This window comes from Homo sapiens, chromosome 12 (genome assembly GCF_000001405.40).
Source record: "Homo sapiens chromosome 12, GRCh38.p14 Primary Assembly".
NCBI classification, from domain to species: Eukaryota; Metazoa; Chordata; class Mammalia; order Primates; family Hominidae; genus Homo; species Homo sapiens.
Window position 1 is genome coordinate 4,905,527 of NC_000012.12, and position 13,826 is coordinate 4,919,352.

Here is a 13,826-nt window from a genome sequence, read left to right on the forward strand (position 1 = left end):
CTTAGCATACAAACATATTGTAATAGATTTCATCATTTTTTTAAAAAAAGTCTCATCACTCATCATCTTCCTTCAGTCTACTACCCCATTCTTCTGTTCCCCTGGGCACCAAAACTCCAAGAGCTGTTTTTACCTACTGTCCTCAGTTCTCTCTCAATCTCTTTTCAACTCAATTTTTCTAAATCTGATAGTCATTTCTATGTTCCTCATTCTACTCATCTTACTGGCAGTAAGCAACAATGTTGATATCTCCCTTCTTCTTAACATACTGTTCTCATTTGGTTTTGCAGACCCCACATTCTCCTGTTTTGTTCACCTCATCATCACTCCTTCTCAGTTTCCTTTGGTGGCTCTTCCTTCTTTTATCGACCTCTCAGCATTAGAGCGTCCCAAGGCATGATCTCTGCATATTTCCTCTTCCTTTTCTACCCTCAGGTTCAAGTGCTGTAATCTCTGTAATCTGCTACTCTGGCTTTAATTACCCAAGTGGTTCTCAGCTGAGGGTGATTTTTGCATTGTCTGGAAACACTTTTGGTTGTCACAACTAGGGGAAGGTGCTACTGGCATCTAATGGCTGGAAGCAAGGGAAGCTGCTGAATATACTAAAATCCACAGGACCACACCCCACAACAATAAAAAGTATTCAGCCCAAATGTGCTAAAGTTGAGAAACCTTGATCTACCCAGACCTCTTCTCTGAACTCTAACCTTGTATGTTTAACTTTCTACTCAACATCCTCATTTGCATATTTCTAGGTATCTCAAAGGTAACATGTCCCAAACCAAAGTTGTGATTCCCCATGCCTCAGCTCAGCTTCCCTAGAAAGCATAACCCAAGACAGGATTATGTGCGAATGCTTTAATGGGAGGTGTGAAGCCAGAACCATGAGAGGAAGAGAAAAGGAGAGTGAGACAGGGAAGGACAGGGTGCAGATCCAAGGAGAAGAGTTACCAAACTAGTTACTGCTTCATGAGTCACAAAGAGACACAGCCTTTTCATTAGACCATGTGGTTGCTTGGCCATGAAAATAATAAAGGTAGAGGGGATTTACCGACGAGCTCCATCCTAGCTTGCATCTCCCACTGGGCAAGCTCCTCTTGGTCCATTGAGCTAATGCACCCCTAGGTTTGTGTTACTCACCTAGGCCTTTTTGCAGTCTTGAGGAATCCAGATTCCACTCCTTGCAGTGCTGTCAACTTCAAGAGGCAGAACTCTGCCACCCATCGAGTTGACTTTTCCAGCAGCACCTGCAGTGGGGCAAGTGGCCATTGGACAAGACAATGGTGAGCTGGAGAGAATCTGAGGAGATGGCCTACGCTGCCCAATACAGTGACAACTAAGACACACAAGGTCTCAGACTTCAAGGAGCTCCTAAGCTGCCCAACACAGAAGATCTCAGAAGACACAGAAGATCTCAGACTTCAAGGAACTCACATCTAGGTAGGAGCGAAACTGTTTGGGACACTCCTGCAGTAAATGATATTACCATTTATCTGGTTATTAAGGCCACAAGCCTAGGAGACAGTCCTAAAACTTTTCTTTCCTCACATCCCAAATTCTGCCATCTCTATTTCAAAATGTAATTCTCTTCCAAAAACTCCTTACAAGCTCACCACAGTCTCCCTCATCTAAGCCAACATTGCTTATGCTACTTAGTAACCTCCAACCTTGTGTCTTGTTTCTAGTAGCCAGAATAATCTCCAAGAAATGCAAATCATATTGCTATATTGATGCATATCCTCCAGTAGGTTCCCATTGTACTCAGAATGAAATGAACTATTCTTACCATAGCCTTAGAGGCCCTGCATGATCTGGGCTCTGCCTGCCTTTCTGACCTACCTTTGATGACATTCTTTCTCAGTGACTTCTTTCTGGCCATACTGGCTCTCTTGTTTCCTGAATATGCTGAGTCTGTCCTTGCCTTGGGACCTTTGCTCTTACACCCATCCTTTCATCTTCCTGTTCCTTGCTCTCTCTTCTTGATGTTTTTTGTTCAAATGTTACTTCTGCAGAGAGGCCCTTCTTATCTGCAAACCTATATTTGTCACTTGCTGTGCCTGATTCTTAATTTTCTTTATCTAACACTATAATGTATGACGTATATGTTTATTGTCTGTATCTCCCACCAGAATATGAGCTCCATGAGACCTGGGACCTTATATGTCTCCATTCCAGTGCAAGGGCACCATCTGGCCCATAGCTGGGGCTGGGCAAATATTTGTTGAATTAATAAATATCTTCAGACCCTTACCAAGGGAGGACTTCCATCAAGAATGCTGAGTTCCAGTTAGCCAGGAGTGATGGCTTGTGCCTGTTGTCCTCCCAGTTACTCCAGAGGCTAAGGTGGGAGGATTGTTTGAGCCCAATACTTCAAGGTTGCGGTGAGCTATGATTACACTACTACACTCTGTCTCAAAGAAGAACAAGAGGAAGAAGAGGAAGAGGAAGAAGGAGGAGGAGGAGGAGAATGCTGAGTTCCCAGCTCACAATTTTCTTCCAGTCCCTTGGAGGTCCAGTCCTGCTGTAAACACATCTATCAGAGATGTGGAAGATTTCCTAATATGCCCCCCAATAAAACCCGGAATTTAGGAACCTGGGATCTCATCCAATCTGTGAATCCCTTGTAGTAAGGCAATCTCCTAATGCTGAGTCAGGGCACATGCATTCACAAGAAGCTAGGAAGATGACAGTCTTAGGGACATTTAAAGGAAGGCAATGGGTTATAGGAAGAGGGAGGTACAAGATAAGGACAGATAAAGTGGAGAATAGGGAAGCTCAGTAGTGCTAGGATATGGTCAGAAAACCCTTGTCTCGTAGGGTTATCCCCAGTAGGGTTCTAGCAGTGGCAGCAGCAACAAAACCAAAAGACTTGGCAGTACTTCAGCTGGGAGCTTCATATTTATATCTTTGTTTTTATTTTTAAATTTTTTTAAAAAATATATTTATTTGCATTAGAACAGCAGTGCAGAAAGGTAGGGATCCCTGGAGCTATTGAGATTGAGGGATATGCGTGTGGAAGGTGGGAAAGGGGAAGAGTTTAATATGGGAAGGAGGAGTATAAGAGAACTCATTGTTCATGAAAGAAAAGCTGGGGTACGGATCTGAAGGAGGGGAGGGAACATACACTTTTGTTTTTCTGAAAGGAATGCTGGCGTCTGAATCTGGAGGAAGGATTTAACTAGTTCCAGACAGGGACTGTTGCACTGCCTGGGCAATCCCGCAGGGGCCCCTGCTTTCCACTAGCCACAATAGAGCGGGAAGGATGCAATCATTGGCTTTGATTAAGGAGGTGGGTGGTGTAGGCGGGAGGCAACGGTGGTGAGAAGGGTGGTCCCAAGGCCGCGGGAGGAGCCAATCAGCGGCGACTCTGGGCTCTTGCAGCCTCCTTAGAGACTCCGCAGCCCTGGAGGTACCAAGCTGCCTGCTGCCTTTTCTCGCGCTGCAGGCGCGGAGATGCAGCGCCTCTGGGGGCGCAGCTCCAGCCGCACTCGCAGGGCAAGGCACACGCCCCCGGCTCCTGCTGCCATGCGCCTCTGCGGGGGACCCTTTCCAAATAAATTGCAAGCTTTGAAAGTGGCCCTGTGGAGGCACTAGGCTGGGGAAAAAGGCTGCGGGAGGAGGGACATAGGGTGGGAGGTGAGTAGGCGACTTGCTTCTCAGATTATTCCCAATTAGCACCAAGTTGGCAGACAACCCCACAAACCCACGAAGCCTTCGGTCCCCCACAAGTCACATTCCCTGTATTTCAGAATAATCGGATCGTAAGAAAACTTCAAGTCCCATCGTAGGTTAAAGAGGGACAGGCTCTTAGTACCGCCGCCGCCCAGTAAAACTACATGGAACAAACCCAGGGATCCTCATCTGCACAGCTCTGCCCAAAGTCTGCAGCTCTGCGAGTCCAGCCGGCGGGGGAAGCTGGGTGGGCCCCGCAGAGAGCAAGGGCCTTCTTGGGGGAGGAGCGGGATGGGGCGCAGAGCAGTGCGATCGAAGAGGGTTACTGTGGGACTGCACAAAAGCAAACCCGTCGGAGGAGTTTTGCCAGAAACACCACCGCCTGCATTGCGTCGGACCTGACCATTTCCAATGTGAAATTCCCGGGGAAGGTCGCGAGCCGCTAGGGGCCGTTCGTGGGCGGGGCGGCGGGCCACAGGGGAAGTAGAGTTAGCGGTCGGCTTTTCTGGTAGGAGAGGAAAAAGCTGTGCTGGCAAGGGTGGGAACTGAATGACAACCCCGCTCTCTTCCAAACCACCCCCTCATATTTTCCATCCACCTCCTCGCTCCTGCCCTCCCCCGCCCTCCCCAACCCACGCCCGGGTGGGCCAATCGCTGCTCGGTATTCCAGGCGCTTTCTCAGGTTTCTGCTGATCTTGCAGCGCCCAGAAATGGACCGAGCGGACCCGCCGCCGCACGCACCCTGCTCCACTCCAAGCTCCTAAGGGCTCCTGGCGCGCCGCGTAGCCTTGGCGAGGTCCGCGCTGGGGTGCGGAGAGCGAAGGGAACTGGAGAGCCATGTAGATCCAGGCTCTCGCCCGCCCGCCTCCTTCGGGATCGAATCAAGGGCTCCCATAGTGTTAGGAGGGGGCGAGAGTGCTGTTTATCGTCATTTGCCTCGGAGCTTCGAGAGAGGGTGGTATTTTGCTTTTCCGCCCCGCATCCTCCGGAACTCCCTGCACCGGAGAGAGGACGGCGTCTCCAGGTTGCTGGCAACCGGTGAGAATGGGGGTAGGGAAGGAACATTTTCGCCGTAGCTGCTCCGTAAAGCGATTGTCCAACTGAGAGGGGCGTCGGACGAGTGGACCAGGGCGGCGAGTTTGCCCGGCGCGTCTCGGATGCTGCTGCGGCGGCCGCCGCGGCTCCCGCCAGGGCACTGCAAAGACGACCTGCCGCATTCCCACTCGGGCTCTCCGCTGACTCAGCACCGCCCCTGCGCCAAGCCAGCCGGCCAGGTAGGGGGTTCCCCAGCTCGGGGATGCAGAAGCGGGGGTTGGGGGGACCGGGTGGGGGAGGCCGGGGGTGCGGGGATGCTGTCCGGGACCCTGAGCTTCCCCCGGCGTCTCTCGGCGCTTTTCCGATCTCTAGTTTAACGAAGTTGTAAACAGATCGGCTGTTGGGCATTGGGGAAAGTGGGATGGAAGAGCCCCAAACTTGGATTTCCGGGTGTCTGCGTGTCGTCTGTCCGTGTGTGTGTGATAGCCCTAGCAAACGTCCAGTGCTTTCTCAAGCTAGAGGTCTGTGTTCTTCGGTGTCTGTAGGTCCGTCCCATCTGAATGCTTCTGATTTTCTACCCCCGTATCACTTTCTATTTCTCTGCAGCGTGCATCGATCGCCCTGGTGGGAGCTTAGAAGGCGGCAGGCGAAGAGGGGTAGGAGGGGGGAGAGCCGAGGAGAAGCAGAGAGGGTGGCAGGCGTGGGGATCTGCCGAGCCGGCACTGCACCGGGTCCTAGGAAGGCTCTCGGAGGGGAGGGGAGGCCAGGGCGACCCCCGAAGCAATGGCCCAGTCCGCTAGAACGGCACTGCGTTAAGGCACCTGGGATCAGGAAGAAATATCTAAACAACAACAACAGAAAACCAACAAACCCCCAAACCCAAACCCAACCCTCTGCAAAAAGCTGCACCCGGCCCGCAGGCGAGGGGGATTCCAAACTGAGTGAAAGGCAGGGTGGAGGGGAAGGCAGCGAGAGGCAAAGTCGCAGATCTCCCGACCTGCTCGTGTTGAAGCACCTCCCCCTGGGCGTGAGGGAGACGCGCGCTCCGGTGGGGGGGCCGCTTGGGTCCCCCCCACCCCTGGTCCCTGGCTGCTTCCCACCCCGGGCTCTCTCCTGGCCTCCCACCCCCGCGCCCGGCTTCCACCATGACGGTGATGTCTGGGGAGAACGTGGACGAGGCTTCGGCCGCCCCGGGCCACCCCCAGGATGGCAGCTACCCCCGGCAGGCCGACCACGACGACCACGAGTGCTGCGAGCGCGTGGTGATCAACATCTCCGGGCTGCGCTTCGAGACGCAGCTCAAGACCCTGGCGCAGTTCCCCAACACGCTGCTGGGCAACCCTAAGAAACGCATGCGCTACTTCGACCCCCTGAGGAACGAGTACTTCTTCGACCGCAACCGGCCCAGCTTCGACGCCATCCTCTACTACTACCAGTCCGGCGGCCGCCTGCGGAGGCCGGTCAACGTGCCCCTGGACATGTTCTCCGAGGAGATCAAGTTTTACGAGTTGGGCGAGGAGGCCATGGAGAAGTTCCGGGAGGACGAGGGCTTCATCAAGGAGGAGGAGCGCCCTCTGCCCGAGAAGGAGTACCAGCGCCAGGTGTGGCTGCTCTTCGAGTACCCCGAGAGCTCGGGGCCCGCCAGGGTCATCGCCATCGTCTCCGTCATGGTCATCCTCATCTCCATCGTCATCTTTTGCCTGGAGACGCTCCCCGAGCTGAAGGATGACAAGGACTTCACGGGCACCGTCCACCGCATCGACAACACCACGGTCATCTACAATTCCAACATCTTCACAGACCCCTTCTTCATCGTGGAAACGCTGTGTATCATCTGGTTCTCCTTCGAGCTGGTGGTGCGCTTCTTCGCCTGCCCCAGCAAGACGGACTTCTTCAAAAACATCATGAACTTCATAGACATTGTGGCCATCATTCCTTATTTCATCACGCTGGGCACCGAGATAGCTGAGCAGGAAGGAAACCAGAAGGGCGAGCAGGCCACCTCCCTGGCCATCCTCAGGGTCATCCGCTTGGTAAGGGTTTTTAGAATCTTCAAGCTCTCCCGCCACTCTAAGGGCCTCCAGATCCTGGGCCAGACCCTCAAAGCTAGTATGAGAGAGCTAGGGCTGCTCATCTTTTTCCTCTTCATCGGGGTCATCCTGTTTTCTAGTGCAGTGTACTTTGCCGAGGCGGAAGAAGCTGAGTCGCACTTCTCCAGTATCCCCGATGCTTTCTGGTGGGCGGTGGTGTCCATGACCACTGTAGGATACGGTGACATGTACCCTGTGACAATTGGAGGCAAGATCGTGGGCTCCTTGTGTGCCATCGCTGGTGTGCTAACAATTGCCCTGCCCGTACCTGTCATTGTGTCCAATTTCAACTATTTCTACCACCGAGAAACTGAGGGGGAAGAGCAGGCTCAGTTGCTCCACGTCAGTTCCCCTAACTTAGCCTCTGACAGTGACCTCAGTCGCCGCAGTTCCTCTACTATGAGCAAGTCTGAGTACATGGAGATCGAAGAGGATATGAATAATAGCATAGCCCATTATAGACAGGTCAATATCAGAACTGCCAATTGCACCACTGCTAACCAAAACTGCGTTAATAAGAGCAAGCTACTGACCGATGTTTAAAAAACAAAGGCAAGCAAACAAAAAAGCCCCACTTAGCAGCTCAAAAGACTTAAAAAACAAAACAGAAAACCTAGTGACTCATGTCACGCTTTGTAGATACTTTACTAAGTAGACTTGGAATGCTCTATTTAACTGTCAATGCGTTGTTGCATTGAGGATTTTGGGGGTGGTGAACCAGAAGCTTTCAAGATCCATGACAAAATAAACTATTTTCCTTTTATTAAAAAATGGGAAAAGAGAGAGTATTTTCTAAAACTGGCTTAAAAAGATTCAGTCCACGAACTAGTCTAGGTAAAATAATAATCATATGCTTCCCCAAACTGAAACATTTTTAATGCTTTGGTTTCTTTAACTTTTTTAAAAACTCAGAACAAGATGATCACTTAGAAATATGAAATTGAAATTCGCATGGGACTCCAGTAAAACATCTTTGCAAACTGCGTAGCACATTGAAGACAGTGCATCAGATGTATTATATGTAACATGATAGACCAGCCAAAATGGACAATGAATAGATATTTTTATTTCGATCAACTGAACTGCATATTACAAGGTGAAAAAAGAAAACTCCGATTACTTAAGACTGGTTCACAAAGCACCTTATAAATTGGATACTGGTCCTGATCTGTAGGGATTTCCCCCTGGGCCCATTCTCTTTCTAATCCAGATTATTCTCTAAGAAAAAGTTAACTGAATTAAATTAATTGATTCTTCTGCAGTGCCGCTAAATGGTCTCAACTGCAGATGAGCCAAATACAGGTCTTTTCTCACCAGGCCTGCACTCCGACCCCTGGCTTTCAGAACTGGATGTAAAACCTTAGCCTCCTTATTGCAAGAGAGCACAAATGAAGTTAAATGTAAGCATGTTTGAATCTGATACAATTTATTTTATAATCGCATGCTGAGAAGTTAACCCAGACAATAGGGGATAAGCTTAAGTTGAAATCGATTCTTCTAAAAATAGATCCTTTTTCATTTGCATTCACCAAAAGTGCACTCCTCCATTTATTAACTATTTTATTAGTAAATAAAGTACTGTATTTAAGTGCATATGTTAGTCAGATGGGAACAATAACTTTTTGGAGCTCAAAGCATGTTCTCTTATTCAGCATTATGGCCTATTTGACTAAGATGTACCTTGAATTAATTAATGCATGATTTCAGTAATAAAAATTTTAAAAGTAATAAAAATTACAAGTCTGTGGGGTGAAAGGCCCAATAGAAATTATGGGGGGTGGGGGTGGGGGCACTCAGTCAATTTTCCTGCCTTTGCTCAGGGAAATACCAGGTTTTTGTGCAGGTATAGGCGGAGAGAGGACCAATATGCCCATCCCTTAAAGGGAAGCCATGTGAAAAACTCAATAAGTCATCAAAGTACATATAGCAACACCTAAGAACAAGTATTCTTTCTAGCTGAAGACAAACACAAGCAACACAAACAAGCAAACAAACAAACAAACAAAAAGGTGCAATACTGCATGTTTTTTGGTGCATTCTTAGGATGTAAATGAAAATGTTTCTCTATTATATGCATCCGAAGCAGAGCTGATTTTTTTTTCTTTGCAGTCATTCTTTGAAGTCTGTAGAGACTTCAGCCCTCCCCTTGAGGCTCCCTGAAGAAACTAAACCAATTGATTTAATAGTTGCTTAGTGCCTTTATCCTGTACCCACAGTGAACTGTAGAAAGTGCCTCCTTAACACAGCTGAGAAGTTAGGTAGCAAAAGTGGGGAAGGGTTGGGGCACAGACCTTTTGCTTTTTCTTTTTCCATTCTCGCTCTCTCATTTCACCACTGTGAGAAGACCACACCACCCTAAACCCTGGAGAGGAGAGACCCAGGAGGGTGCTGTCTCTCTGGCCATCTACTAGCATTGGTCCCTTTGACAGCCTGACGCTGGATGTGAACTGAGACCCATCTTTGAACTGGACATGAACTGTGAACTTGTTTTTTCCTCTCTCCACCAAAGCCAAGATAAACTTTTTGGGAATTTGTTTCCTATCGAGGGCCACTTTGGACACACAAGGCTTCCTCAGGTCCAGTGTAGTGCTCCTGGCACCTTTCCTTATTTTTTTCTCTGTCGGTAACAGCACTTTGCAAATCTCTCTGACGGTCCAGTCTTTTCAGGCATTGTTGTGGATGTGGGAACACTCAGTTCATAATAACCTTTCCTAGGCCTTCCCTCCTGGTCTACCCCTTTCAGATATTTCCTGATGCCCCTATGATCTTCCCACCTGGCAGTCACTTCACAGGTTGAACATCTAACTTCTGCTGCCCCCCCGTTACCCAGCCCAGAGAATGGTGGGGACCCTGTTCCTGGCTGAAAGAGAGCCACGGAACACAGGCCTCTGGAGCTCGGCAGCTGCCCACCGGTGGAGAGGTACTCACAGCCTTTCAAAGGACCCTGAGGTGGGGAATCTTCATTCTGCACTTAGCATGTGGCTGCCTGTTACCTGACATTCTGGCCCAGCTTCTTCTGAAAATCTGTCCTGCTTCTCCCACCCCTTTCCCCCATCCTGTCCTAGAACTAGCAGTGAGGCAATCACCCTAGAAACTCGAGTTACACCCATTCTGGCTAACTCGATTAAAAGAAAGAACATGGATATCTTATTTTCCTATGTGACTTTTGTGAATCTGTGAGATGAACACAACACACATCGTGGAAGATGAGGGGCCAAGAACTGCGCAGCATCCGACTACAGGGCATTAAACCCTCCCATGTGATGTCTCCTTCTCGTCTGAACCTTAACTCATTCTGGCGATTCCTTTCCTACTTGCTTAAAAATCCCCAATTAGGAAAAAAATGCCAACCTCCTCCCAGGCTTGGGGTTATCTTGATCTTTCATTTCAACGTTGAGGTCTAGTGCACACAGAACTTGAAACACCGCACTCTGTCAACAGCAATAATCCACTCAGTACTGTGGGATGGATGGGTTAATGGATGAGAAAACGGCACCAAGACTGACTTTGGGTATTTGGTATATTTACCGTGGTTACACTCTGGACTGGTTGATTCTTCTGCATGTGATATAGAAAAAAGTGCTGCATGCGGTGAACCTGTCAGTCTGGGACTGGGGGTGAGTTGTTGTTATGAGTTTGGGGTGGTGTGAGGAAAGTGAATGCTGCTTAGCTCATCTGTAGCTCATTGCAATGAATTCAGTAAGAATGGAGTACAGGGATTATCTGTGTAGCATAGGCATGCAATGTTTGACCAAGCTCTTACCCTCGCACTGTAATGTGTTGAAATGTCTTTGTAGACCTGAAGGTGCACTTAACAAAACTGCCTATTAAGGGATGACTATTTTTTGGTTTACTTATTCATATTTATTTTAGCAGCCTTTTTACCTTTTCTTCCCCTTCCTAGGCATGGAGCTGTAACAGCTCATGTCCTGACTATGTGTTTTCTCCAGAAGGAGAAGACTTCTGATGTGCTGATAGCTATAATTCCTCTCTTCCAGTCTATTGGGGCCCTAGTTCAATAGGGTGGCAATAGAAGAGTTGGTCACACCAGGGCTGTTAGCCATCCCAGAATCTCTGAAGTGGTTAACTCACCTGAAGTGATCTGAATCAGAGAGACCAAAGACATTCATTTCCTCTGTCCTCAGATTTCTAGAAGACAAATTCTAGCCAGGAAAACTTTCTGTTTTTGCATCTCCCTTTTCCCATTTGTGCCCAACTCCCCTTGCACTCCCTGGAGACTTGAGTTCTGATTTTCAGTTATATCAGCTCATTGGGAGTGTGTTCGTGGGTGAGCCTTGCAGAATCAGATAAACCAATAGCAAGTCCTTCTCCAGGATTCTGGCCAGTGGGCAGTCATTTCCCTGAAATGAATTGTAGGGCAGGTTTAGATTCCACTATGGTGGACGTGAAGCACAGGTGGTGTCACAATCTTGATTTGCTTGAGAATTAAAAAAATACATGTAAATGGTAAATGAGGAATACATTTTTTTAAAGTAGAAATTTGGTTTAGCCTATAAAAGGCCTTCTTCACATTGTGTATAGTTACACGTTTTTCAAATTAGGTACCATCTAAAAGTCAATAAAAATAGTTTCCTAGCCCTCTCATTTAATATAGGAGACCTCAAAACACATGCTTTTTAACAATTTTACATTTTAATTCTTAGTTTGGTAGATTGGATTGAAAGAAAGGAGAAAGAACATTAGCAGAAGGCACTTTCCCATTTTCTTCCAGGAATGACTTATTCCTGGGGTGGTGAGAATTGGTGGGTGGTAACCATCCATAGTATAAAATTGTTAGAAAGAATATAAACTGCCAAACAAGCATGTTATCTTCAGGCTTTTCCAAGCAAGAATGAAGTCTTTTGATGTTTATGTTCATTTTAAGAAGACAAACAAACTAAAATTTTAAGACCAGACACAACCCAAGTTGAATTGTGATCTCAGGAGGTGAACTCTCATTCACCATGTGGCATATTACTACCTGTATTTATATCATGGAATTTCAGGGTATATGTGAACATGTCTAGTATGACTCAGGTAAACCTTTAAAGAATGTATGTTACTTACCATTTTTGTAAAGAAGCAAACAGGAGCTGAATTGTTAACCAAAACTGTTCCATTACCTTGGGTCACTGTGCAAACTAATTCAGGGTACAGATATAAAGTTTAGAAGCCTTGGGATTAAATGCCAGCCTCTTTGCTCAGGCAAAATGACCCTGGGCTTTCTTGGGAAGTCCAGCATGTATGTAAGGGGTGAGGCCCTGCTGACCTCAGGGCTTTTCGCTTTAAGGAGATTAACCCTAGTCACAGTGATTTTCATTTAGGAGCTAACTAGGAGTTTACTCTTTATGACGTGAAACTTCAAAGAGTATAGAAAACTTTTGTACCACAATCAAAGAAGAAGAAATGGTGTATGGAAAGAAAACAAAACAAAACAAGAAATCTCTTGTAAAATATTCCAGGTCAAAGTTGTCTCCTCTCCAAACCTTGCAGAAGCACCTTTCTTCTCTTCAGCGCACTGTTTTGGGACTGTTTATGCAGCAGATGTAAGTAGACAACATGGACTCCATGTGACATGCCTCTAATAGTAAAGATAAAGTATTACTGAGGTTAAAAATAAAAATTGAGTAGTATTAATTTAAAGTGCACCATCAGGACAACAAACCATTTAAGCTGAAAAAACGCTATTTTATTTCTTGAGTTTGCCAGTTGCTTCCACCTTGAGTTAAGGACGTGTCTCATCTTCACCTACTGCGCATTCTCCCTTCTCTAACTGTGTAATATGTCAGGTCAAGGACATTGAATGTTATGAATTGAGAACCTAATTGATGCGCATAGTTTTCATCTATGCAATTTTACTTGCTTCTGTCACTTTACGATCTGTTCATATTTGGCATCAATTAAAGATACTTTTTAAGGATCTTATCAAGGAATATCTTGACTGGTTATTTGTCTCTTGTTTAACTGGTCTTTTGGGGGCCCTTTTCTTCCCTTCTTCTGTGGGGTCTCTTTAAATAGTGGGGTGAATCCAAGATCAGATCATGAAACAGACTTGTTTCCTTTGGCCCACGTGGTCTGTTTCTGCTGTCCAAGGACATATCCGGGGGTTACCTTTTGAGGATAAATTCAGTTTGGTCTCAGGTAAGATCCCAAGTGAAGACCACTGGAATTTGGCCTGTGGAAGTTAGAGTGGAAGGAGGATCAAGCTTTCAAAATAAAACAAGAAATGAGGCTCAGGGGAACAAAGTAATTGGTTATATCCACTTAAGTTGTTTTGATTTGAAACTAGTTTTTATGCACAGTCTGAGAAGCTTTGCAGGAAGAATAATTGTGGGTGTGTGTGTGAGAGAGAGAGAGGGAGACAGAGACAGAGACACGACTGTGTGTGTGAGTGTAACAGAGTTGTGGTCTGGAATCAACTGACTTGATAGTTGCAGTGTGGTGTTAGGAGTGATTTTGATGTGGAAAAACAACGTGGCTCCTATCCATTCTTTACACAGGCTTTTTCCATGTAGTTCTACATGTTCACATTTCTTTCTTTCTGTTTTTTTTTTTATGACTCCTTGTTGCATTTCCTTTTGATTCTTCCTGAGATTTAGATCTTCTGTTTTCCTCCTTGTGAATATCACATTTTCTACACATTCTTTTATGTCAGAGCAAACAGGGGGAGGTGCTCTTGACAGCGGTCTGTTACATGCTAAATGCACTGGGTGGTTGGTGCATTATCGTAGAAGAGTATTGCGCTGTGATAGGTTCATGTTACAAGATTTGCAGATGAATCTTGCTTTTGCTGTATAAGTTACCACTGAAAGTAGACTACAAAGCTGGGCAGGCTGCCCATGATTTTTCTCTTGTGGTCAGGAAACAGGCCAGGCTAAGCTCTGACAGAGAAGGTAAGAGACAGCCCAAGACACCCCAACAGCAGTGGATGTTTCTCAAAGCTCAGCCTTAGAATGGTCTTCTTAAAGCAGAAACAGATAGAACCAGGTAGCTGCTAGGAATGGGGCTATAACTGGGAGCTTTGTTGTT

At 47.0% G+C, this 13,826-nt stretch overlaps 1 protein-coding gene across 1 annotated transcript, besides 3 other annotated features; it reads left to right on the plus strand.

The window, feature by feature from the left end:
- Window positions 1,010-2,209: an enhancer, noted in NCBI's record as "BRD4-independent group 4 enhancer chr12:5015702-5016901 (GRCh37/hg19 assembly coordinates)". NCBI's record gives its function as "activates an origin of replication core promoter dependent on BRD2, P300/CBP, MED14 and CDK7 cofactors, and independent of BRD4, by STARR-seq in HCT116 cells {active_cell/tissue: HCT116}" and the evidence as "EXISTENCE:reporter gene assay evidence [ECO:0000049][PMID:35650434]".
- Window positions 3,004-3,760: an enhancer, noted in NCBI's record as "H3K4me1 hESC enhancer chr12:5017696-5018452 (GRCh37/hg19 assembly coordinates)". NCBI's record gives its function as "activates a minimal SCP1, AML or CMV promoter by ChIP-STARR-seq in primed H9 embryonic stem cells {active_cell/tissue: H9 hESC(primed)}" and the evidence as "EXISTENCE:reporter gene assay evidence [ECO:0000049][PMID:30033119]".
- Window positions 4,379-12,730, plus strand: KCNA1 (potassium voltage-gated channel subfamily A member 1). The gene is made up of 2 exons (NM_000217.3): window positions 4,379-4,946; window positions 5,314-12,730. The coding sequence occupies exon 2, from the start codon at window positions 5,853-5,855 to the stop codon at window positions 7,338-7,340; it is 1,488 nt and encodes a 495-aa protein (NP_000208.2). The 5' UTR covers window positions 4,379-4,946; window positions 5,314-5,852; the 3' UTR covers window positions 7,341-12,730.
- Window positions 5,761-5,900: a silencer, noted in NCBI's record as "silent region_4155". NCBI's record gives its function as "represses an Ori minimal core promoter by ATAC-STARR-seq in GM12878 lymphoblastoid cells {active_cell/tissue: GM12878}" and the evidence as "EXISTENCE:reporter gene assay evidence [ECO:0000049][PMID:35858748]".